This window comes from Homo sapiens, chromosome 2, assembly GCF_000001405.40.
Source record: "Homo sapiens chromosome 2, GRCh38.p14 Primary Assembly".
Classification (NCBI taxonomy): Eukaryota; Metazoa; Chordata; class Mammalia; order Primates; family Hominidae; genus Homo; species Homo sapiens.
In genome coordinates this window covers 224,217,818-224,243,961 of record NC_000002.12, presented here as the reverse complement: position 1 = coordinate 224,243,961, position 26,144 = coordinate 224,217,818, and the positions used below count along the sequence as shown (strand labels likewise).

Below are 26,144 nucleotides of genomic sequence, written 5' to 3'. Positions count from 1 at the left end.
AGCCTTCCTTGGCTGGCAGCTGCAACACTCGATGCTCGGCCTCTGTCCTCACTGGTCCCCCTTCCCTCTGTGTGAGCCTCTGTGTGTCTACTTATAAAGACATCAGCCATACTGGATTTAAGGCTCACTCTACTCCAGCGTGACCTCATCTTAAATAATTATGTCTGCAAAGACCTCGTTGCCAAATAAATTCACATTCTGAGGTTTCAGGTAGATGTGAAGTTTGGGGGGATGCTATTCAACCCAGTACAAGTGTCTACTTTTATCAGATGCTCTCCTGGGCACTAGGAGTGTACAGGTAATGGAGATGTGCACAGTCCCTGCCCTCCAGGAGCAGTCATGTGTGGAGACAGGAGACAGACATTGATCAAATAACCACACAGACACTTTCCTGGGTAACATATGTCTAAACAGAATTGAGAAGGAGGGGAGCAGGTTAGCCTCGTCCTTTAGGAAGCAAACTCCTTCATCACTGGGACCAAATCTTACTCATTGTTGACTCCCTGGTGCCTGGTACATTGTTGATGTTCAGAGACTGAGTACGAAGGAAAAATGCTAATCAACTCATTATAGAAACAAAGTTAAAAGAACTTGGCAAGAAGGTCAAAGACTTATTTGAGATTATTCATGTTGGCTGAAGACAAAGACGACTTATTTCTAACTAGAGAAAATGTCAAGCCCTCAGCCAACTTTTGTGGATAAATAAGTCTTATTTACATCGCTTCCATTTCAGTCCATCTTTCTTGTTCCATTTGCGATTGGTCTTGCATTCAATTAGTTTTTTGATGCTCATTGAGAATACAGTTATCTGGCTCATTATATTAAACAATAATAAAATTAGAATAATAAACTTCTTCCTCTCTTATGAGTTTATTGTATATTCTTGGATATTCATAATTGCAGTATATTTCAGTATTTTATTTTGGATGTTTAAACTCACCCATTGGACCAATTAGGTGCTATTAGGTGGTAAGGGCAATTCAGTGATTGAGGATCTTAATTTTTGTCTAGGGGCCAAGAGGAACAAAGTGAAGCTGGAGTTGCAATGGTAAAGAAGCAGTAGTTACTCATCAGGGAGAGAAAAATATTTTGTTACTTTTGTGATTGCATGGCTTCCTTGATTCTGTCCATGTTCAGATATGATTAGAGAGTGGTCTTATTTGGGCTTGGTTTTATCACAGTCATGGTATGACCTCATGTGATGTTGAAATTCTGTGAAATTGTTTATGTTTATAGGGAACACTGTGGGTCATTACCAGCTGTCAGTTTTCAGAGCCTTTGTTTATCTTCAGTAGACGCCTCCACCCTGTCAGGGAGTCATTTTCATTAGGTTCTTGTTTATCCTTCCAGTATTTCTTTTTTTTTTTTTTTCAAATACAGTCATGTATGTTCTTATTTCTCCCATTATAAACAAAAGGTAGCATACTACATACAGTGTTCTACAACTTGCTTGTTTTTCTTTAGAATATAAGCTAGAGATCTTTCTGTATCCGTACACAAAATTCTCACCCTACTTTTTTTATGGGTGCATAGTACTCCATTGTCTGGGTGCATCATAGTTATTACAGAATTTTGGCACCTTAACAGCAAATACCTTCTGATTCAGGACAGGCAAGCCCCAGAGTTGATGCTTAGCTGGAGAGAGTTCTTGGCTTTGCCCAGGAAAGAATTCAAGAGAAAACTGGCGGTGTTTGCAACTTTTATTGAAGTAGCAGTGTATAGCAGGAGCAGAGGTATTATTTCCTGCAGTGCAGGGCTACCCCATAGGCAGTGTGCCCAGAGGAACAGCTCAGAGGCAGTTCTGCAGTCATATTTATACCCATTTTTAATTATATGCAAATTAAAGGATAAATTATTAAGAAATTTCTAGAAAAAGGTACATTGTCGTAACTTCTGGGTTATCAGGTCGTTGCCATGGTAAGGGGTGGTAACTTCCAGGTGTTGCCATGACAATGGTAAACTGACAGGGCACACTTGGCGCACATGTCTTAGGAAGAGGTGCTTTTGCCTCTTCCCTGTTTTAGTTAGTCCTCAGTCTGGTGTGGTGTCTGAAGCCTGCCTCTGGAGTTGAGTCCTGCCTCCTACCTCACTTGTACCTCTAAAATAACAGCATGGATAGATTCTTATGTGTAAAATGCTGAGCTTACATTTGACAAGCATTTGCAATGTAGACCGGAGTCAGGACAGATGTGACACTCTAGCAAGCTGGCTTGTATTCTTGGTTCCACCAGCAATTTCCTTGACAAGTTGCTTAAAGTTTCTGAGCCTCAGTTTTACATCTGTAAAAATACAGGGTTGACAAATATTGGAAGCCTAGTCAAATTTCATCCTTTTGATCTTACTCTCATAGCAGGTAGATGTTTAACAACCCACTTTCCAGAAGAAACAAAGACCTGATCTGTAATGTTTGCTGACTTTCATGGTGTGAATACTGTCAGCATGACCAAAATCTCAAGCCACTAACAATTTAATAGTTTTCAAAATTTCCAAAAATTTAACAATTGGAAAAAATGTCCTAAAATGAGGCTCACTGACATTCAGACATTGTAACCTCCTCAGATAAAAGGTATATCCTACACACTTATCACACTTAGAAAAAATAAAAGAAAACTAAAGAACATTATCCTCTAAGTCTACTATCTTAAACATTTCCTGAAGTTTTCATTAATTTGTAGCATAGGAGTCCTTAGGAACAAACAGTAATTCACTTTAATAACTATAATATATTACCCAATCTTTATCTACAAAGAAATTTACTTCATTGGGTCAAAGTTTGTTGTATTAGTATACTATTTAATCCTGAGTCTTAACTATTGCTGTACATTTTAATCAGCTTTTGACACTTACTGCCAGCCAGGCCCCACCCCAGACTAATAAAGCAGAATTTCAGAAGAGTGGGGCTCAGACACTGGTTTGTTTTAAAAGTGTTCCAGGTGATTCTAATGTGCCCCCAGCGTTAAGGACAACTGGCCTTTGGATACTTGGTATATAGGTCTTCTGATACTTGCCTTTCTTTCTCTTTTTAAGTGAAGGACACTGTGCAGATACGTGTTCCCATACAGATACGATTCAGCTAAACTAACTCAAGTGCAACAAAAAATCTTCAAGATTATAAAAACATAGCTAATATGATTGATCTCTCTGAAAAATAAATTCAACGGAACTCAAAATCTGACCTCGCATTTTATTCCTCAAATGTAAAATCTACTGCAAGAGTAAAATGAGAGGAAATCCAAATGTCTAACTCCTCTCTGTGAGATTTAAGTTTGTTTTGTTTTAAAGAAAGGTCATTTTGTTCCTCCTCTTTTTTTTTTTTTTTTTTTTTTTTTTTTTTGCTGGCCTTGGGAAGCAGCCGACCATCCCAGCACACAAGAAATTAATTACCCTGGAGGGCCAGGTGCAACCAGTTAGTTGGTTGCTATGGGGACAGAAGCTATACATCTTGGACTTTTCAGGATAGTTTCTTATTTCATGAAATCTTATTCTTTTCATAAGGGCCATTCATAAAAATATAAATGTAAGTGTGATTTGATTACTCTTACATATGCATTAGTACATAAACAGGAAAAAATACATTGCCAAATAATAAGCCCTCATATTTGTAAAGAAAACTTAAGACTAGATACAACTTGAGTGAATTAGTGGTTTTTTTTTTTTTTTGAGACGGAGTCTTGCTCTGTCACCCAGGCTGGAGTGCAATGATGCAATCTTGGCTCACTGCAAGCTCTGCCTCCCAGCTTCACACCATGCTCCTGCCTCAGCCTCCTGAGTAGCTGGGATTACAGGTGCCCGCCACCATGCCCAGCTAATTTTGTATTTTTAGTAGAGATGGGGTTTCACCGGGTTAGCCAGGATGGTCTCGATCTCCTGACCTTGTGATCCACCCATCTCCCAAAGTGCTGGGATTACAGGCGTGAGCCACCGCACCCGGCCCAAGTGAATTAGTTTTTCAAAGATCTAAGACATTTTGAAATTCTGTCGGAGAAACTAGAAAAATAAACTTTTCTGGAGTCTTCTGGCACTTAAAGCACAGGGCTGCTGTGCCTGATATGAGTTAAAGTTAAGCCCAACATGTGAGATGCATCAGTTCTCATCCAAGAAGATTTCATTATAAATTCCGTTCAACTAAACTTATTTCCAGTTCTCCTGAAGAGACCCAAGGTAGGGCTGCATCTTTAAAACTTAATTAAAAATGGTAGTGTTTTTTTCTTAAGAAGACATGTTAAAACTCATTATTCAAATAGCGTTTGAGTGATTTCATACAATTAAACAACATTGGTACTGTTTTTTAGTTTTGACAAATGTACCATAGTTATTAGTGTTAAGATGTTAGCATTAGGAGAAAGTATGTGAGGAGTAGATGGGAAATGTCTGTATTGCCTTTGCAATTTTTCTGTAAACATAAAATTATTAGGTTGGTGCAAAAGTAATTGAGGTTTTTGCCATTGAAAGTAATGGCAAGAACCGAAATTACTTTTGCACCAACCTAATATTCCAAAGTAGAGTCTATTAGTGAGTAAGGTGTGGTCATTAACTTGTAGTAGATGAATTTATTATAGTGGACACTGATAATTGTTATATCGATTATGTTAAATTGGCAATGGAAATAACGGTGAAATTTTGGGAATCTGACTGCGATTTCATGCTGAATTTTAAGCATATTCTAATGAATAATCCAAACCTACAGTTTTTGAACCATTTTTACCCTCTATGTGCATCATCTATAACTCTAGAAATGTCATAACTTTCATTTTGAACAAACCACTGTAGAGATTTAAATGACAGCATTAGCTATCTGTGATGCACTAAATTTCTTTGAATGTCTGATACACTGATGTTGTACATAATTTACTGGAGGCCAAATATTTTCATATTCTTTTATTAAGTCAATCCCATTTGATATTTGAATGACATGTTTGCAATAAACTCTTATTTGTTGTCATTTAAAAAATTTTTTGCTTTGTTTTTCTTCAACTTCTCTGTGCAAAAAATGGTTAAGAAGATATGTGCTTTAATGGGTTGAAATATCTGCTAGTTCTAACTACCTCTTTGCCAAATATTGTAGAGAAACCTAGGAAGTGTCAGTGCTTTCTCTTCCTTTGGATATGTGTTAAGATTTATTTTATAATTCATATTTAATATCAAATGACATTGTGTCTAGAAAAGCCCTTGGCACATAGTAAATGCTAATATATATTTATTATATGAAGAAATAAATTAAATAGTTACATTTAATGTTTTCATATTTAGCTTCTTTCAAACAAAATTTACTTGAGGATATAGACCTAGTTTATTTACAGGAAAGTTTATTCCTCACTGTATATTTATCAAAGTCCCACAAAGGGCAACCCAATTGAGTACATGTCATATCACCAATATACAACTTCCAAATTATAGAACCAATTTAGCTTGTGTTTAGCTCAGAGTTTGTAACCCTATGAGTTTTGTACTTTTTAAATTCTTTTCCTTTTGACCTGGACTTCAGCACTAACTCCATAGAGACTGAGTTAAACATAGCTTCCAATTTTCAATATATAAGAGAGATGAAAGTTTAAGATTCTTAATATATAAAGTAATTTAAAAATCAATAAAAAGGCACTTCTGGTCAAGATGGAGTGACATAGACTGGATTTACCTTCCAGCCTGAAATAACCAAAATGCCGGAAAAAAATAAATGAAACAAAGCTTTTAAAGACTTTAGACATCAAGCAACAAAGGACAGTGGTCCTTGAAAAACAGGAAACAATTGAGGTGAGACCCATGATAACCCCAGCTTACCGCCTAGATGGAGATTTCAGGAATCAGCACAGGGAGGGGAAACTGAAAGAGAGCCCAGAGGTCTTACCTGGGTCCACCTGAGTTGAGGAATTACAGACAAGAGCCTGGGTAGGTCTTGGCCTGAAATTCCAGGGCAGAGTACCAGAAAAGAGAGAGCAGCACAGGGAGAGAAACTGAACGATCTCCAGAGGGTCTCTCTTCAGAATACAGAGCAGGGCCTATATGTGAGGAAATTACCTGAAATCAGGAAAAGAGCCACCTGACAGGATATAGAGGAAACACTGCCTGTTTTCATACAGCTGGGAATAGTTCATGTTCCAATGACTCAAAGTGGAAATCCTAAGAATTCATGGAGATTTACATAGAGTACTCAGAAGGCTTTTGCTTCAGTAAAATTACTAAATTACTAAATTAAAATTACTAAAAATAGACCTCAGCAGTTGGCAAAAATTAGACCAAGACTACTTGGAACTTTCTGACAAACCTTAAAAGCAAGATCTGAAATGATTAAAAACTGTTTTCAAGTAATTTATGCTTCAGACCAAAGCTCAAGGATATTTATAGGAATACAAAAATATCCAGCACCCAAGAAGTTAAAAATCAAAAAGACTGCTGTTTAATTAAGGCATGCTAAGAAGCAGGAAAACATGACCTGTAATGATAAAAAGAAATCAATTGACACCAGTCTAGAAATGACACACATGATAGAATATAGTAGACAAGGACATTAAAAGTTATTATGACTGTATTTCATATGTTCAAGAAGCAAGAAAAAAGGCTGGTCCTGAAAGATATAAAGACATGGATATGAAAAACATAAAAATCAAACTTCTAGAAATGGAAACTACAATATCTGGGGTAAAAAGCCTACTAGATGGGGTTCATAGCAGATTAGATATTGCCCAAGAAAAGATTACTGCTATAAACTGAATTGTGTCCTTCCACCTCAATTCATATATCAAAACGCTCACCCAGAATGTAATGGTATTTAGAGAAGAGGCCTTTGGAAGATAATTAGAGTTAAATAAAGTCATGAGGATTGGGGCTTCATGATGTGATTAGTACCCTTATGAGAAGAGGAAGAGAGGGCGATTACTTGCTCTTTGCCATGTGTGGATACAGTGAGAAGATAGCTGTTTGCAAGCCAGGAAGAGGGCCTCCATCAGGAACTGAGTTGGCTTCCCAGCCTCCAAAACTGTGAGAAATACATGTCTGTGGTTTAAGCCACCTAGTAACCTGGGCTGACTAAAATAATTAGTAAATTTGAAAACATAGCAAAGAAACTATCCAAATGAAACACAGAGATAAGAAAAAAAAATGTAATGAAAGAGAGTCTAAGTGAACTATGGGACATGTTTAAGTGTGTGTGTATATATATACACATACATACATATATACATATGTATATATATACACACATGTGTATATATACACATATGTATATATACACATGTGTGTATATATATACATATGTGTGTATATATACATATGTGTATACATATATATATACACACACACATACAATTAGAGTCCGTGTGGGAGACAGAGGAGCACAGAAAAAATATTTGAAAAGTAATGGCTGAAAACTTTTCAAATTTGTTATAAACCATAAATATGTATATTTGAGAAGTTCAGCAAACCCCAGGAAAATAACTTGAAGAAAAATGTAAGGTACATCATAACCATATTGCTGAACACTAGTGAGAAAGATAAATCTTAACAGCAGCCAGAGGAAAAAAGATACATAACAGAAACAGAAACAAGGTTAAGGATGATGGCAAATTCTCACCAGAAACAATTCAAACCAGAAGACAGTGCACTTTGTTTAATGTACTGAAAGAAAAAAGTATGTCAACTTAGAATTCTGTACCCAGTGAAATTATCTTCCAAAAATCAAGGCAAAACAAAAACATCTTAAGACACAAAAACTGAAAGAAGTAATCACCAGCAGACCAACAATAAATAAATGTTGAAGCAATCCTTCACGCAGAATAAAAATGATACCAAATGAAAATCTGATCTGAATAAAAAAATGTAAACAAAGAACACTAAAAATGGTAACAAAAGAACACTAAATCCAATATTTATGAGAATGAAGATGAAAGTCATTTTTAAATTATTGAAGACTTTTTAAAAGATAATTGTTGGCTGGGCGCATGGCTCATGCCTATAATCCCAGAGCTTTGGGAGGCCGAGGCGGATGGATCACAAGATCAAGAGATTGAGACCATCCTGGCCAACATGGTGAAACCCCATCTCTACTAAAAATACAAAAATTAGCCAGGCATGGTGGCGCCTGCCTATAATTCCAGCTACTTGAGAGGCTGAGGCAGGAGAATCGCTTGAACCCGGGAGGCGGAGGTTGCAGTGAGACAAGATGGCGCCACTGCACTCCAGCCTGGGGAGGGAGCGAGACTCCATCTCAAAAAATAAAAAATAAATAAAAATAACTGTCTAGAGAAAAAATAATAAAATAATAACAATATATGTGAAGCTGTTATATGTTATATACATAGGAGAAAAATGTATGACAAAGATAGCACAAAGGCCAGGAGGGGAGAAATATTCTAAATTTCTCATACAATATGTGAAGTAAAGGACGTATACTATAAATCTTAAAACAATTACTGTAACAACACAAGAAAGTTACAGCTAATAAGCCAACAAAGGGGATTAAATTGAATCGTTAGAAATAATGAGTGCAATAGAAGAGAGGAAAAAGAGGAAAAATGACAGAAGGAAAAAATAGAAAACAAGTGCAAGATGGTAGATTCAAACCTCAACTATATCAATCATAATATTAAATGTAGGTGGTATAGCACCAGAATGAAGAGGCAGAGATTGTCAGATAGGATTAAAAAGTAAGGCCCAACTTAGTCCAACAAGAACACTTAATGATTCTAAATATATATGTACCCAACATTGCAGCACCCAGATTTATAAAACAAGTTCTTAGAGATTTATGAAGAGATTTAGTCAACCGCACAATAATACTGCAGGACTTTGACACTGCACTGACAGTGTTAGACAGACCATTGAGGCAGAAAACTAACAAAGATATTCTAAGCTTAAAGTTGACATGACCAATTGAACCTAATAGACATCTACAGAGCACTCCACCCCACAACAAAATATACATCCTCCTCATTTGCACACAGCACATACTCTAAGACTGACCACAAGTTTGTTTACAAAGCAAGTCTAAACAAATTCAAAAAAACAGAAATCGTATCAAACACACTCTCAGACCATGGCACAAGAAAAATAGAAATCAATAGCAAGAAGATCCATCAAAACCATACAATAACATGGAAGTTAAACAACTTGCTCCTGAATGACTTTTCAGAATACAATTAAGGCAGAATTTTAAAAAATTCTTTGAATCTAATGAAAACAGACACACAACATACCAGAATCTTTGGGACACGACTAAAATGGTGCTAAGAGGAAAGTTTATAGTGCTAAACACTTACATCAAGAAGTTAGAAAGATCTCAAATTAGCAACCTAACATCACACCTAGAGTAACTAGCAAACCAAGAGCAAACCAATCCCAAAACTAGCAGCAGAAAAAAAAAAATCATAACTAAACTGAATGAAACTGAGATGTAAAAATAGATACAAAAGCTCAACAAAACCAAAAGTTAGCCATTCAAAAGAGTAAACAACATTGATAGACCACTAGCTATATTAATAAAGAAAAAACAGAGGAGATCTACATAAACACTATCAGAAATGGCAAAGACAACTTTACAACTGACCCCCCAAAAATACAAAAGATCCTCAGAGATTATTATAAACACCCCTATGCACACAAACTAGAACACCTAAAAGAAATGGACAAATTTCTGTAAACACACAGTCTCCCAAGATCGAACCAGGAAGAAATTAAAATCCTGAACAGATCAATAGTAAATTTTGAAACTGAATCTGTAATAAAAGGCCTACCAAACAAAAAAGCCCTGAGCCAGACGGATTCACAACTGAATTCTGCCAGACATACAAGGAGCTAGTACCAATCCTACTAAAACTATTCAAAAAAATTGAGGGGGAAGAACTCTTCCCTAACTTATTCTATGAAGCCAGCATCATTCTAATACCAAAGCTTGGTAGAGACATAACGAAAAAAGAAACCTTCAGGCCAATATCTCTGATGAACATAGATGCAAAAATCTTTAACAAAATACTAGCAAACCAAATCCAGCAGCATATCAAATAGTTAATTCACCACAATCAAGTAGGCTTTATCCCTGGGATGCAAGGTTGGTTCGACACACACAAACCAGTGTGATTCACCATATAAAGAGAATTAAAAACAAAGATCACATGATCATCTCAAAAGATGCAAAAAGGCTTTCAATAAAATTCAACATCCATTTATGTTAAAAACCCTCAACAAATTAGGCATCAAAGGAACATACCTCAAAATAGTAAGAGCCATCTATGACAAACCCACAGCTAACATCATACTCAGAGACTATTATGAGATGTAAAATAATACTGGGGGAATGGCAAAAGCTGGAAGCATTCCCTTTGAGAACTGGAACAAGACAAGGATGCCCTTTCTCACCACTCCTATTCAACATAGTACTTGAAAGTCCTAGCCAGAACAGACAAAAGAAAGAAATGAAAGGCATCCAAGTAGGAAGAGAGGAAGTCAAACTATCTTTGCAGATGATATGATTCTATACCTAGAAAACCCTGCAGACTCCACCAGAAAGCTTATAAAACTGATAAACAACTTCAGTAAAATTTCTGGATACACAATCAATATGTAAAAATCAGTAGGATTTCTTTTTTTTCTTTTCTTTTCTTTCTTTTTTGAGATGGAGTTTCACTCTGTTGCCCAGGCTGGAGTGCAATGGCGAGATCTCGGCTCACTGCAACCTCCGCCTCCTGGGTTCAAGGGATTCTTCTGCTTCATCCTCCCAAGTAGGTGGGATTACAGGCATGTGCCACCATGCCTGGCTATTTTTTTTCTGTCTTTTTAGTAGAGACGGGGTTTCTCCATGTTGGTCAGGCTGGTCTCGAACTTCTGACCTCAGGTGATCTGCCCCCTTTGGCCTCCCAAAGTGCTGGGATTATAGGTATGAGCCACTGTGCCCGGCCCAATCAGTAGGATTTCTATACACCAATGACATTCAAGCTCAGAGCCAAATCAAGAATGCTAACCCATTCACAGTAGCCACAAAAATATAAAATACCTAGGAATACAGCTTACCAAGGAGGTGAAAGATCTCTACAATGAGAATTATAAAACATACTGAAAGAAATCTGGGATGACATGAATAAATGGAAAAATATTCCATGTTCATTCATCGAAAAAATCAATGTTGTTAAAATGGCCATACTACTCAAAGCAATTTAAAGATTCAATGCTATTCCCATCAAACTACCAATGACATATTCATAGAATTAGATAAAACTATTCTAAAATTTTAATGGAACCAAAAAAGCCCAAATATCCAAGGCAATCCTAAGCAAAAATAAAAAATTTGGAGCCACCACACTACCTGATTTCAAACTATACTACAAGGCTACAATAACCAAAACATCATGGTACTAGTACAAAAACAGACCAATAGAACAAGACAGAGAAAACAGAAAGTCACACACCTCTAACTGGCTGATCTTTGACAAAGTCAACAATAACAAGCATTGGGGAAAGGATTCAATAAATGGTGCTAGGATAACTGGCTAGTCGTATACAGAAGATTGAAACTGGACCCCTTCCCTACACCGTATAAAAAAATTAACTCAAGATGGATTAAAGACTTAAATGTAAGATGTAAAACAATAAAAACCCTAGAAGAAAACCTAGGAAATACCATTCTGGACATTGGCCTTGGTAAATAATTTATGACTAAGTCCCCAAAAGCAACTGCAACAAAAACAAAAATTGACAAGTGGGACATAATTAAACTAGAGAACTTCTGCATAGAAAAATAAACTATCAAGAGAGCAGACAGACAACCTACAGAATGGGAGTAAATATTTGCAAACTATACATTCATCAAAGATGTAATATCCACAATCTAAAAGAACCTTAAATCAGCAAGCAAAAACCAAATAACTCCATTTAAAAAATGGGCAAAGAGCATAAACAGACATTTCTCAAAGAAGAGATACATGCTGCCAAAAAATATATGAAAAATGCTCATCATCCCTACTTATTAGAGAAATGCAGATAAAAACCACAATGGGATGCCATCTCACATCAATTGAAAGGCTATTATTAAAAATTCAAAAAACAACAAATGCTGGTGAAGCTGCAAAGAAAAGGGAACACGTATACGCTACTGTTGGGAATGTAAATGAGTTTAGCCACTGTGGAAAGCAGAATGGAGATTTCTCAAAGAACTTAGAACTACCACTTGACCTAGCAATCTCACTATTGGTACATACCCAAAGGAAAATTAATACCAGAAAGACACATGCACTTGCATGTTCATTGAACATGAAATCAAGCAAGATGCCCATCAATGGTGGACAGAATAAAGATAATTTGGTACATAAACACCATGGAATACTATGCAGCCATAAAAAAGAATAAAATCATGCCCTTTGCAGCAACTTGGATGCAGCTGGAGGCCATTATCCTAAGCAAACAAATGCAGGAACAGAAAGCCAAATACTGCAATGTTCTCACTTACAAGTGAGAGGTAAATATTGAATACACACGGGCACAAAGATGGGAACAATAGGCATTGAGGACTGCTTGTGGGTGGAGGGTGGGAAGAAGACATGAATTTGAAAACTACCTACCAGGTACTATGCTTACTACATTAGTGATGGGATCATTTGTACATCAAGCCTTAGCGATATGCAATTTACCTATATAGCAAATCTGCAGATGTACCCCCAAACCTAAAATAAAAGTAGAAAAAAAAAGTAAGACCCAACTATGTGCTGCATATGTGAAACATACTTTAAATATAAGGACACAAATAGGTTAAAAGTAAAGAATGGAAAAAGATATATGGTGTTATATATAATTAACCTAAATAATCTAAATACTTAAAAATAGCAGATTGTTTAAATAATTATAGAATATTAATAAAATGGAATATTCTGCAGTTATTAACAATGTTGATGGAGAAGTATATTTATTGAATTTGAGAATAATTATGATCAATTAAGTGAACTGTGTGATATGAGAAATAATTGAGGAAAGTATTCCCAAAATATTGTGGGATTTTCATGCACATCTGTGTGAAGAGACCACCAAACAGGCTTTGTGTGAGCAATAAAGCTTTTAATCACCTGGGTGCAGGCGGGCTGAGTCCGAAAAGAAAGTCAGCGAAGGGAGATGGGGTAGGGCCGTTTTATAGGATTTGGGTAGGTAAAGGAATAAGGGGGGTTGTTCTCTGGCGGGCAGGAGTGGGGGGTCACAAGGTACTCAGTGGGGGAGCTTTTGAGCCAGGATGAGCCAGGAGAAGGAATTTCACAAGACAACATCATCAGTTAAGGCAGGAACAGGCCATTTTCACTTCTTTTGTGGTGGAATGTCATCAGTTAAGGCAGGAACCAGCGATCTGGATGTGTACGTGCAGGTCACAGGGGATATGATGGCTTAGCTTGGGCTCAGAGGCCTGACATTCCTGTCTTCTTATATTAACAACAAAAATAAAATGAAATAGTGGTAAAGTGTTGGGACAGTGAAAATTTTGGGGGATGGGATGGAGAGATAATGGGCGCTGTTTCTCAGGGCTGCTTTGAGCGGGATTAGGGGTGGCATGGCAACCTAGAGTGGGAGAGATTAAGCTGAAGGAAGATTTTGTGGTAAGGGGTGATATTGTGGTGTTGTTAGATGGAACATTTGTCATTTAGAATTATTGGTGATGGCCTGGATGCAGTTTTGTATGAATTGAAAAACTAAATGGAATAAGAGAAGGAGAAAAACAGGTATAAAAGGTCTAAGAATTGGGACGACTCAGGATATCTGATTAGAGAGTGCCTAAGGAGATTCAGCATAGTCCTGCCAGCAAAGATTATTTATTTACTTCAAGAGTTAAGAGTGGCAGTTTGGGGATAGCACCTGGAGATATCAGCTGTGATGGCTTGGAGAAACAGTGTAAACTGGCAGTGTAAACAAGAGCAGGGCTTGTATGAGTAGTTGAGAACGGTGAATAGGAGTATGACTAGATAGAAGATAGTAGGGATGACAAGTTTTTCTGGGGCACAGCCTAAGTTGGTCTGGTGTCTGGAATGAGACTGGGGCCTAATAAAAAGGAGCGTCTATACAGGAGCTCAAATGGGCTGTACCTTGTAGCATTCTGAGGACAGGCCTGAACTCTGAGAAGGGAAAGTGGTAAAAGTATTGCCCAGTCCTTTTTACATTGGTGGCTGAGCTTGGTGAGGTGCGTTTTTAAAAGACCTTTAGTCTGTTCTATTTTTCCTGAAGATGGAGGACCATAAGGGATATAAAGGTTTCACTGAATACTAAGAGCCTGAAAAACTGCTGGCTGATTTGACTAATAAAGGCTGGTCTGTTATCAGACTGTATAGAGGTGGGAAGGCCAAACTGAGGAATTATGTCTGACAGGAGGGAAGAAATGACTGTGGTGGCCTTCTCAGACCCTGTAGGAAAGGCCTGTACCTATCCAGTGAAAGTGTCTACCTAGATTAAGAGGTATTTTAGTTATCTGACTCGGGGCATGTTGAGTAAAGCTCATTTGCCAGTCCTGGGTGGGGGCAAATCCTCGAGTTTGATGCGTAGAGAAGGGAAGGGGCTGAATAATCCCTGAGGAGTAGTAGAATAGCAGATGGAACACTGAGAAGTTATTTCCTTGAGGATAGATTTCCACGATGGAAAGGAAATGAGAGGTTCTAAGAGGCGGGCTAGTGGCTTGTACTATAGCATAGCCTGCCTTTGCTGGTGTGTGGTGATTAGGCCTGGTGGAACCGCCATCAATAAATCAAGCGTGATCAGGGTGAGGAACAGGAAAGAAGGAAATATGGGGAAATGGGGTGAACGTCAGGTGGATCAGAGAGATACAGTCATGGGGGTCAGGTGTGGTATCAGGAATAATGTGGGAGGCCGGATTGAAGTCCGGGCCAGGAACAATGGTAATTGTGGGACTTAACAAAGAGTGAGTACAGCTGAAGGAGCCGGGGCTCAGAATGTATATGCATCAGGTATGAGGAAGAAAATAGATTTTGGAAGTTATGAGAAATGTAGAGAGTAAGTTGAGCATAGTTTGTGAGTTTGAGGGCCTCTAAAAGTATTAGGGCGGCAGCAGCTGCTGCACGGAGACATGAGGGCTAGGCTAAAACAGTAAGGTCAAGTTGTTTGGACAGAAAGGCTACAGGGTGCGGTCCTGGCTCTTGTGTAAAAATTCTGACCGCACTAACCATGCCTAGGAAGGAAAGGAGTTGTTGTTTTGTAAGGGATTGAGGTTTGGGAGAGTAATCGGACATGATCAGCAGGGAAAGCAGGTGTGTTTTTATGAGAATTATGCCAAGATAGGTAACAGATGAGGATGAAATTTGGGCTTGACTGAAGTAATGGGGGCTGTCTGTGAAGCCTTGCAACAGTACAGCCCAGGTAATTTGCTGAGCCTAATGGGTGTCAGGGTCAGTCTAAGTGAAAGCGAAGAGAGGCTGGGATGAAGGGTGCAAAGGAATAGTAAAGAAAGCATGTTTGAGATCCAGAACAGAATAATGGGTTGTAGAGGGAGGTATTGAGGATAGGAGAGTATATGGGTTTGGCACCACGGGGTGGATAGGCAAAACAATTTGGTTGATAAGGCGCAGATCCTGAACTAACCTGTAAATCTTCTCTGGTTCTAGGAAAGGTAAAATGGGGGAATTGTAAGGAGAGTTTATAGGCTTTAAAAGGCCATGCTGTAGCAGGCAAGTGATAGCAGGTTTTAATCCTTTTAAAGCATGCTGTGGAATGGGATCTTGGCATTGGGCGGAGTAAGGGTGATTAGATTTTAATGAGATGGTAAGGGGTGCATTATCGGTCGCCAAGGAGGGAGTAGAGATATCTTATACTTGTGGGTTAAGGTGGGGGGATAGAAGAGGAAGACACAAAGGAGGCTTTGGATTGGGAAGAAGGGCAGCAATGAGATGTAGCTGTAATCCAGGAATAGTCAGGGAAGCAGATAATTTAGTTAAAGTGTCTCAGCCTAATAAGGGAACTGGGCAGGTGGGAATAACTGAAAGGAGTGCTTAAAAGAGTATTGTCTAAGTTGGCACCAGAGTTGGGGAGTTTTAAGAGGTTTAGAAGCCTGGCTGTCAATACCCACAACAGTTATGGAGGCAAGGGAAACAGGCCCTTGAAAAGAAGGTAATGTGGAGTGAGTAGCCTCCGTATTGACTAAGAAGGGGACGGACTTACCTTCCACTGTGAGAGTTACCCAAAGCTCAGCGTCCGTGATGGTCTAGGGGGCTTCCGAGGTGATCGGGCAGCGTCAGTCTTCAGCCGCTAAGCCAAGAAGATCTGGGAAGGAGTCAGAGAGCCTTGGGCCAGAGTTCCAGGGGCTCTGGGAGTGGCTGCCAGGTGAGTTGGACAGTCCGATTTCCAATGGGGTCCTGCACAGATGGGACATGGCTTAGGAGGAATCCTGGGCTGCAGGCATTCCTTGGCCTGGTGGCCAGATTTCTGGCACTTGTAGCAAGCTCCTGGGAGAGGAGGCTCTGGAGGAATACCTGGCCACTGCGGTTCAGGCGTTTGGAAGTTCTTGTGTGCTGGAGATGTGGCTGGGGTTTGTCTCACAGTGGAGGCAAGGAATTGCAACTTTTTTCTATTATTGTACATCTTGAAGGCGAGGTTAATTAAATCCTGTTGTGGGGTTTGAGGGCCGGAATTTAATTTTTGGAGTTTTATTTAATGTCGGGAGCAGATTGGGTAATAAAATGTATTTTGAGAATAAGACACCCTTTTGACCTTTTAGGGTCTAGGGCTGTAAAGCATTGTCTCAGGGTTGCTGCCAAAGGAATCATGAATTGGGCTGGATTTTTATATTTGATGAAAAAGAGCCTAAATGCTATCTGACTTGGGATAAAGAAAAAGGAGCATTAACCTTGACTATGCCTTTAGCTTCAGCCACCCTTTTAAGAGTAAATTGCTGGGCAGGTGGGGGAGGGCTAGTCATGGAATGAAACTGTAAGTGGGACCCGGTGTGAGGAGGGGAGGTGATAAAAGGATTATAGGGTGGAGGAGCGGAGGCTGAGGAAGAATTGGGACCTAGCTCAGCCTGGCGAGGAGCAGCCTGGGGAGGAGGGGAGAGGTCAGATGGGTCTGTAGAAAAGGAAGATTAGAAAGACTCAGCGACTCTTGGGATTGGGACTGAGGGGACAGGCGGGAGGGAAAGAAGGAAGATTTGGGACGAGTTGCACTGGGCACAGAGACTAGGGAGGGACCGATGTGTAAAAGAATGCCTGGACATCAGGCACCTCAGACTGTTTGCCTATTTTACGACAAGAATTATTTAGATCTTGCAGGATGGAAAAATTGAAAGTGCTGTTTTCTGGCTATTTGGAACTACTGTCGCATTTGTACTGGGGTCAAGCGGCATTGCAGAAGAAAATAAGATGCTTAGATTTTAGGTCAGGTGAGAGTTGAAGAGGTTTTAAGTTCTTAAGAACACAGGCTAAGGGAGAAGAAGGAGGAATGGAGGGTGGAAGGTTGCCAGTAGTGAAGGAGGCAAGCCCAGAGAAAAGAGAGTAGAGACACGGAGGGAAGGCGTTTGGGGGTTCTTACCCTCCAGAAAAGCACGAAAGGGGTTGAGACACAGAGATACAAGTTCGGGGCATGGAAATGAGGGATCGGGGCACAGAAATATAAGAGGTTGGGGCATGGAAATAAGGGATGGGGCACAGAGATATAAGGGGTTGGGGTACTTGTCCCTCCACCAGAAAAGTGGGACTTGCCCCTAAGGGTGAAGGAGAAGGGGATGGGGGTTTCTTGCCCCCCAGAAAGGTGGAGAAGGGGTAGAGACACGGAGAGAAGGGGTTGGGGTACTTGCCTCTTCCCCAGAAAAGCAGGACTTGATGCTAATGGTGAAGAACCAAGGCAGGCGTCCCTGCGTGGTCTGACACCACTGAAACCTGGGTGAATAATCAGAGAGGTGTCCCTGTAATGATTAAACACCAAGGGAAGGCTGCCTTCCCCAGTCCGTGACCGGCGCTGGAGTTTTGGGTCCAGGGATAAAACGTGTCTCCTTTGTCTCTACCAGAAAATGAAAGGAATTGAAATTAAGAGAAAGGAGAGGTTGAAGTGTGGTGCCAAGATTGAAAGGAGAAAGAGGTTGAGGGATAGTGAGGGAGGTTGGAGAAGAGAGTAAAAAGAGGCCGCTTACTGGATTTGAAATTGGTGAGATGTTTCTTGGGCTGGTTGGTCTGAGGACCTGAGGTCGTAGGTGGATCTTTCTCACGGAGCAAAGAACAGGAGGACAGGGGATTGATCTCCCAAGGGAGGTCCCCCGATCTGAGTCACGGCACCAAATTTCATGAGCGTCCGTGTGAAGAGACCACCAAACAGGCTTTGTGTGAGCAATAAAGCTGTTTATTTCACCTGGGTGCAGGTGGGCTGAGTCTGAAAAGAGAGTCAGCGAAGGGAGATGGGGTGGAGCCATTTTATAGGATTTGGGTAGGTAAAGGAAAAGGGGTTGTTCTCTGGCGGGCAGGAGTGGGGGTCACAAGGTACTCAGTGGGGGAGCTTTTGAGCCAGGATGAGCCAGGAAAAGGAATTTCACAAGACAATGTCATCAGTTAAGGCAGGAACAGGCCATTTTCACTTCTTTTGTGGTGGAATGTCATCAGTTAAGGCAGGAACCAGCGACCTGGATGTGTACGTGCAGGTCATAGGGGATATGATGGCTTAGCTTGGGCTCAGAGGCCTGACAGGGATTATCTCTGGATAATATAATTTTGAGTGATTTTATTGACTATGTATTGTGTTATTCATTATTAATAATAAATTTTGAAAATTATCTGCCAGACTGACAATTTGGCTCTGGCTTTCCCCTGACTATACCCCAAGTTATATATTTAGAAGGTGGATTATGCTTTTAGTGGTGCCCTTTGCTCTTTGGAAAACTTTTAGTTTTTTAAAAAATAAACTTTGGGATGATCAAAATATTTCTCTTTTACCCATCTGGCATCTTCCTGTCCCCACACTTGGATGATGATTATATCTCCTAAATCAATGTAGACCAATACTTCTCAATCTATTTGTGGTAAAAGACTTAAAAGAAGTCCCGTCTATCTTCAGCTTATTATTTTGGTCTATTTGTAACTGAATGAAACATTCCTATTTAGAGTGGATGCTTAGATATCATAGCAATATTAAATTGCGATAAAAGTTTCTTGATGCCTAGTCTTAGTTTCTTTACTAAGACTGGTAATAAACGGTTTGCCGACCACAACTTAAGTATGAACAACCATCATGGCACAGTGGATTGTTCCCCTAGTGGTTATAACTGATCTCAAGTAATTTACTGATCAATGACTCCTAAATTCAGTGTAAACTGAATTGATAGAGATTAGTAAGTGACACTAAGCTTAAAAACAAACCATAAAGAAGAAACTTGAAGTGGAATAGACTTGAATCTGTAGGAATTATGAGCATATTGTGAAGACTTAGATACTTGGAAATGCCACATATTAAGGCATTATTCCCTTTCACAATGGCTTGACATTTCTATAATTTTCACTTTTGGCATGTGTATTTTTTGTGTTAATATGAGTAACATAGCCAATTTAATTTACTTTAAATGTACGCTATAGAAAAGATGTTGCATTCTTGGGTTCAATTTTTATTTCCATCTGGAAGTCATTTTTGTTTTGAAGCAGTAGAATATATTCCATTTTAAGAAGAAAGTCAGTGGGAAAAAGTTTGCTATATAAAACCTTGCTTCACAGTTAACTTCCATATCTGTTCCACATATTGAGGTGCTTTTTTTTTTTTTGTATTCTTCTTCCAAGCTCTTACTATAGATTTGCAAAATGTTGAGGGTAGAAGAAAAGAAATACACACTCTCTCTGCTGAAGCAATTCAATGTTTTTATTTTTAATTACTTTCATAGGATTTCCTTAAAATAGTTCAATAAGAAATATTGTTGCCAATTCTGTTGTCCAATCTTACTAAGTAATATCAACATAGTTGGGCTAAATCTTATTTTTTTCCACGACACATAACTAATTCTCATTGCTGTTTCTATTGGCAGATGTTTCCCTTCTTAATCTGACTCTACATTTTATCTTCAAAGAATAAACATTCTTCTCTCTACTAAGAACATCAAGAGACAGAAAAGCATTTTTTAAAAAATTTCCTTTCCTTATAGTCAAAGCTAGAACCTCTCAGACTGCCAAAATGGTTTCCTCTTTCCCAAGTCAAATTTGTCAAAAAGTAAGACTTGTAGTTTTTCCTAAAAGTTTAGATAGTTAATTTAGGATTTACAAATCAATCAAATATTAAGTGCCAGGAATATTCATATGTAGCTAAAGGTGTACCGTAATCTTACAGCTGAAAGTGAGGTCAAAGGAAAGACATTGAAGCTAAATAATGGGAAACAAGATATTTCTGAACTTTTGCAAAGCTTCTCCCTCCCCAGTTTCATTAAGGAAAAATATATCTATAAAATCAAAGTCAAAAGATATTTCAAATTCTGAGGTTCAGACTGACAATGTTAGCATGCTTTGCTATGGTGGACTATTGAGAAGATATAAGTTACCTAATTAAGATCAAGTATGTAAATGCATCTCTACGGTATCCTGGCAATGGTTTAGACCATCAAGACTTTTGCAGTTTTCTGGTGCCTGATTAATCTGATGCGTAAGCTTTTTGCAATTTGTTCTTTATTGAAAATTGCACATCTTCCTCTTATTACAAAAATTGTTATAAATTCTATGTTAAAATACTTTTCTCATCTTTTTTCCTGCCTTCTAGTCTAACCAATCTAGTGTAAAGCATTCTGCTAAGTATTCCTTTTGCAAGCTTTCTGTTGATAAGTATTTTTCTCCAGCAAGATTCCTTCCAAAGGCTAATCATAGAATTGCTGACTAAAGGCATTTTTATAAATAATTTGCAGTGGTATTGGACTATGGTTTAGCTGTGGAGGGCGATCATATAATTTGGAGTTTCCACTAACATTGTCTTCCTTGTATGTGCACTCAAGGGTGTATCCTGATGTTTGAAAAATAGAAAATTAACAGAGCTGGGGAGGAGGAAGAAGCTGGAGAAAGAGGAGGAAGTGGAAAAAGTGGTGGGAGTCTTTCTCCCTGGCTGTGTCCAGTGAGTTATGGGATCGAGACAAAGCTACTACATTTCCCATCCCCATCTGCCTTCAAATAACTTTTAGCAACTGAGGACTGACAATAATATATTTAATTAGCTTTCTCTTCTTCATACCCAGAGGCAGTTTACTTCAGGCCCCCGTTATTTTCCCCCTGAATTCCTGCAATAGCCAGCAAACTGCTCTGCTTGCCCTGTGGCTTTGCCAGTCCTGCAACTCATCTCCTACCAGCTACCAGAAGGATTTTACTCATAGTGAATTTGATCATGCCTATCTCCCTGTTTAAGAATTCTTCAGAGAAGGGCCTCAGGATAAAGAACAATCTATTTTTATGCCATGGTAGCCCAAAGTGTGAACATGGTGAAGCTATGACCATATATTACAAATCCTAAGCACAGAAGCAACTCATTACTTCTGATCACACGGCAGTGGCTAGAATTTAATCACACGGTCACATTTATTTGCAAAGGAGGCTGGGAAATGTAGTCTATTACTGTGCCCAAATAAGATGAGAATGTATTTAGGAGGATAGTTAGCCTTCTCTGCCACAGCAGATTGTTTTAAAAAATCGCTAAGCAATCACAATAAATATTCATGAATACGGAATTTTTCTCACTAGCAGAAAAAAGAGAATTGACATTTATTGAATGTCTACCATGTGCTTAGCACAGTTTTTCTAGGAGAAATACTTGGTCTTATTCATCTTTCTACCTCCTGAACTTAGCAGATTGTCTAGCACACAGTAAACACTCCAAAAAAAAAAAAAAAAAAAACTACTAAACTGAACTTTATAAAAATGTGGAATTTTTTAAATATATGAATAACAGCAGGCTTTCATAATCTTGTTCATTTTTCCTTTTTTTCTGCATCTCCCCCTGATACTGCATTATTATTTTTTCTTTTGTTTTTCTTAGTTAAGCCTTAATTGTTAATGCTTTTCTACTGTCACTAATTAAAAGAAGCAGCTGACTTGAAGGTGAGGGTTGCTTACTATTCTTCAACAACTGTCTCAAACTGACTTCTAGTTGATTATTTCCTTACCAGAAAGGTGATTCAGACAAGTTCATGATTTTTATACATGTGATTGCTGATGACTAAGCATGGTTTTTCTGGGTTACTTCCTAAGGAGAGCATTTACCAGGAAAGTGCGAATTGATGCCCAAGTCATCACCCCTCTGGGCAAAGGAATTCCTTTCAAATTCCAAAGGAGCGTGTGCTGGCTCACTCCTTATTGTAAAAACAAATCACTGTTTAGAGTTGAAATGTGGCTCAAAGGCCTGGTTGATCCTGATCCGTTTTCTGTAGGAAGTGGGTGCGGGGAGGTGGGAGGAACGGCCTCATATCCCAGGAGGTTTAGTAACAGAAGTTGTATCTGTTGGGAACAAAGTGTCAAAGAAGAGAGGCTGCTGGTCTAGGAGGGAAAGGGCCTCCTCTGAGCCAGCCATGTGGGTCAGGTCAGTCCTGATGATCAATGAAGAGACTGCTGCCAAAGCCAGATCAACTTCTCATCCACAGTGGGGTGGGATTCTTCTGATGCACACAATCACGGTCACTTGGCAGCTGTAGAGCTAGCCCCAGTTTTACCCAAAATATTGCCAAGATCTCACTCATTGTTCCCCTCCCCAGCTTTTCTTGGGTCTGTGAAATGCTTATGCCATTTATAATCTTGCCCACGTTGTCTAGGTCTGGTCAGGAGAGGGCAGATTCCCAGGTTTCCCAGGCTGGGTGGTCCCAAAGTCTCCAGCAGCCACTCCCTCACTATCCGTGGATAGTGGGGTTTTTCTCTTCCTCCTCATGCTGTTAAGGTTGTAACTGGCATCTCCATGGACTGCTGAGGGCTCTTGAGTCCAGTGAGTGGGCAGAGCCAGCCAGGGTTTCCTTTGAACAAAGCTGGGATTCTCAAACCAGGGACACAGACATCAATTACCAGCCACTCTGGCCAAAGGTGCTAGTCTCTACCTCCTGCTCTTTTGATAGAAGCTCCCAAATTTCTCAGGACCAAAAAGATTCTCTAGAGACTTGTCTTTCTCAATTAGATTTTATCTACGGCAAATGCCATTTCCATAATAAGTTCTGGAACTGTCTCCAACTCCAAACTTCAATATTGAATGTCTATTTCCTTATGCTTTTCTAAGAATGACTTAGCATTGTCTCAAATGACTCATCAACAAGATGCCAACATTCTCTCTCATTTTCTCTCATCTTTGAGGCAAGAATCTCATAGAAGAGCAAATCTGTGTAAAGCTGGATTTAACTTTTTTCTGCACCTACACCCCGCCTTGGGGAACCCGGGAGCAGGGATTGAGGAGGTATTGCTTCCTCTGGTTGAGAATCATTGAGGAAAAACTGAGACAGGGAAGTAGGAAGTACTGAACTCTGAACTGTGTTCAGGAAACCAAATGACAATTTTGGAGGTGTCAACTCTGCAACAATTCTGGGCAGTTTACTGTTAAGAACTCAGGAAGAACTAGTGAGTCAAGTCATTATTTCAAGTTTCCAGTTGTAATTTTCTTAACTGCTTTATTTATACATGTTCCTCATGACTCCGGAGCCAGTTAATTCTATCTCTGAGTTATGTAGTAAATGTTCATCCAGCAGACAGGTTGCACATGACTCCCACTGGCCATGGAATCGAAGTGTTCCTGTCATCACTATTTTGGTTCCTGGGGTGACCTTAACTACCTTGTAAAAGCTGGACAAACTGTCTAGATTTGAAGTAATTGGTGATGAAATTGGTCAAACAATATTTAGGATGATATCATATCCGGAAAATCTCTTGCAAAAGAAAGTACTTTTAGAGGAAACACAAAAAGGAATTTTAAAAATACTATTTGGGTAATGCCCCTACGGGATTTTTTTTTGGCTAACAGGAAATGCATCTGAAAGTCGTTTCCCCTGACTGGGAAGGCCTGTGGGATGAATGAATGAGTCCTGCTGTTCTTCGGAATTACCTTACCATGGATGCTGGCATGCCACCCCAGCGGCACCCCAGGGCATCTGCCTAGATGAGTGGTTGTCACTTTTCTTCCCCAAGCCTGCCCTGGACCAAAGCTCTTCCTCAAATTTGTAAACTATGGAGTCACAGCATCATTGGTATTCATCATTCCTGCTGGCTTTTGCCCATGAGGGAAGGTCTCTGTCTTTAGTTTAACAAAGATCATTCCAGAGCAAGACTAGGAAGAAAGAGTGAGGCCTTCACATGGCATTAAATAGGCTTCCTTTCTCTGAGGAAACAAACACACAAACAAAGAACAAAATGAATTCAATAACTTTTAAAATTTTCAAATTACAAAGATTTGAAAGAGGTTATCCAAGATGGTAGTATTGCAGGACTGTCTCGCAGTTTGAATCCCAGGTTCCACACAGGAAGAGGAGGAGTCAGGCTCCTCCCCATTGCAAATGGCGGGAACTTCTGTGACTCCACCTCAGTGCGCCTTCTCAGTGCGCATGCTGGTTGGAGTTTTTCCAGGGACCACCTTCCCACCTGGCTGTCTCAGGAGTGGTCTGTTACAGTGGAATAATTGCAGCCAGAAAAAAAAAAAAAGGACAACAGGAGATTAGAGCTGAATTCGTGTCTTCGGATCTCACTTGTGGTAGGAATTGAGGCAAGCCAGTTGTCCTCTCTGAGTCTCTGCTTCCTCACCTGTAAAATCAGGGACTAGTAGTGCCTATCCCACAATATTATGGTGGAGATTAAATGACATAATGTGCCCGTCACAGTGCCTCACATATGAAATGTTACGTCCAATCAACATAGTTCTCTGTGTCCCTTCCTTTTAGATTCTGAAATTTACTTTGCATGCCTATTCCTAAAACGGTGGAAGTCCTTCTTCTCCTTTCCCCAGTGTTAATCTTGAGTTGCAGATAAAGAGAAGTAAACATCTGACTAGGGTAATGACATCTAGTTTAAAATGAAGGGATAAGCTTCTTTAGTATATTCTCTTTTAACTGTGAGATGTGATCTCCAGAAAAAAACTACATTTTATGAGCTATAAATCTGACTCATAATTACTGAAGTTTCTTAAACTAGCTTCCAAAATATGATGTATTTTCCTACTATATATCTAAGCATCACTGACTTACATAATCTTTTTCCTCCACATTTTTGACAATCTTTTCTTTCTCCACATGATTGAAATCTTTGCCCTAGCAGATGCCAAATTGTCACAACTCTAATAAATTTCTCACAAATCTATCTCACTTCTATCCAGGATTCGGCTCAGTCTAACAGAGCAAATTCGTCAGCAGTCAACCACCAGACTTCAAGGCAGTCATTATTAGAGAAGATCTGTACTTCCCCTCCTCCTCCCAACCACTGTGTATAAGTTGCTAAAGTGCATGTCCAAAGAGGGCTTAAAATCTTCCCACAGCAATACTCTATCCTGAGTTCCAATGAGATTCCTTGGCCTTCATAAGTAACCAATATGGAAAAAGATAAAATGAGCATAGAATTTTGCTCCTAAAATAGGCAGCTCAGAGTGCCTACTTTTGACTGAGAAAACAACCTCAGTTCTCTACCCATCCCTGAATCTGTGCCCTTTGCAGTGTGATTTTGCTGCTTCTTCCATCAAGAGTATAGTCTGTTTTCCTGTTCCTTCAATCTGGGTTGGACTTTTGATTTACTTTGGTCAATAGAAGGTGGCCTTGCCTCTGAACCAGGCCTTCTGAGGGCTTGTAACACCTCTGCTCTCTATTCTCTCCATCATGAGAACAAGCCTGGCCTAGCTGGCTGGAGGATGAGAGACCATGTGGAGCAAAGCCAGTTATCTCAGCCAAGACCCTTCCACGTGAAGTAAAAGCCAGTGCACGGTCAGACTTATGAGTCACTCCCAGCCAAGAGAAGAAGAACTGCTTATCTAAGCCCAGCCAAGATCGGCAGAACTGTCCAGCCAAGTCATAGAGTCATAAGCAAAAAAAATTTTTTAAAAAGTATATTGTTTTATACCACAGAGGTTTTGTGGTTGCTTGTTATGCATCCTAATTGTACACAGACAACTGATAACGTTAACTAACAAAGAAATGGTGGGAGCTCCTGGGGTAGTCAGGGAGATTTGTAGAGCAGCTGCCTTGGGATGAGAAAGGAGGAATTCAGTCTTTGTCTGCACTAGAATCTAGACCTTCA

General features: G+C 39.4%; 5 annotated features.

The window, feature by feature from the left end:
- Nucleotides 12,782–13,282: an enhancer, noted in NCBI's record as "OCT4-NANOG-H3K27ac-H3K4me1 hESC enhancer chr2:225095397-225095897 (GRCh37/hg19 assembly coordinates)". NCBI's record gives its function as "activates a minimal SCP1, AML or CMV promoter by ChIP-STARR-seq in primed H9 embryonic stem cells {active_cell/tissue: H9 hESC(primed)}" and the evidence as "EXISTENCE:reporter gene assay evidence [ECO:0000049][PMID:30033119]".
- Nucleotides 13,283–13,783: an enhancer, noted in NCBI's record as "OCT4-NANOG-H3K27ac-H3K4me1 hESC enhancer chr2:225094896-225095396 (GRCh37/hg19 assembly coordinates)". NCBI's record gives its function as "activates a minimal SCP1, AML or CMV promoter by ChIP-STARR-seq in primed H9 embryonic stem cells {active_cell/tissue: H9 hESC(primed)}" and the evidence as "EXISTENCE:reporter gene assay evidence [ECO:0000049][PMID:30033119]".
- Nucleotides 18,148–18,770: an enhancer, noted in NCBI's record as "OCT4-NANOG-H3K27ac hESC enhancer chr2:225089909-225090531 (GRCh37/hg19 assembly coordinates)". NCBI's record gives its function as "activates a minimal SCP1, AML or CMV promoter by ChIP-STARR-seq in primed H9 embryonic stem cells {active_cell/tissue: H9 hESC(primed)}" and the evidence as "EXISTENCE:reporter gene assay evidence [ECO:0000049][PMID:30033119]".
- Nucleotides 22,956–24,155: an enhancer, noted in NCBI's record as "MED14-independent group 3 enhancer chr2:225084524-225085723 (GRCh37/hg19 assembly coordinates)". NCBI's record gives its function as "activates an origin of replication core promoter dependent on BRD2, BRD4, P300/CBP and CDK7 cofactors, and independent of MED14, by STARR-seq in HCT116 cells {active_cell/tissue: HCT116}" and the evidence as "EXISTENCE:reporter gene assay evidence [ECO:0000049][PMID:35650434]".
- Nucleotides 23,083–23,283: a silencer, noted in NCBI's record as "peak4049 fragment used in MPRA reporter construct". NCBI's record gives its function as "represses an SCP1 promoter by STARR-seq MPRAs in K562 erythroleukemia cells {active_cell/tissue: K562}" and the evidence as "EXISTENCE:reporter gene assay evidence [ECO:0000049][PMID:32103011]".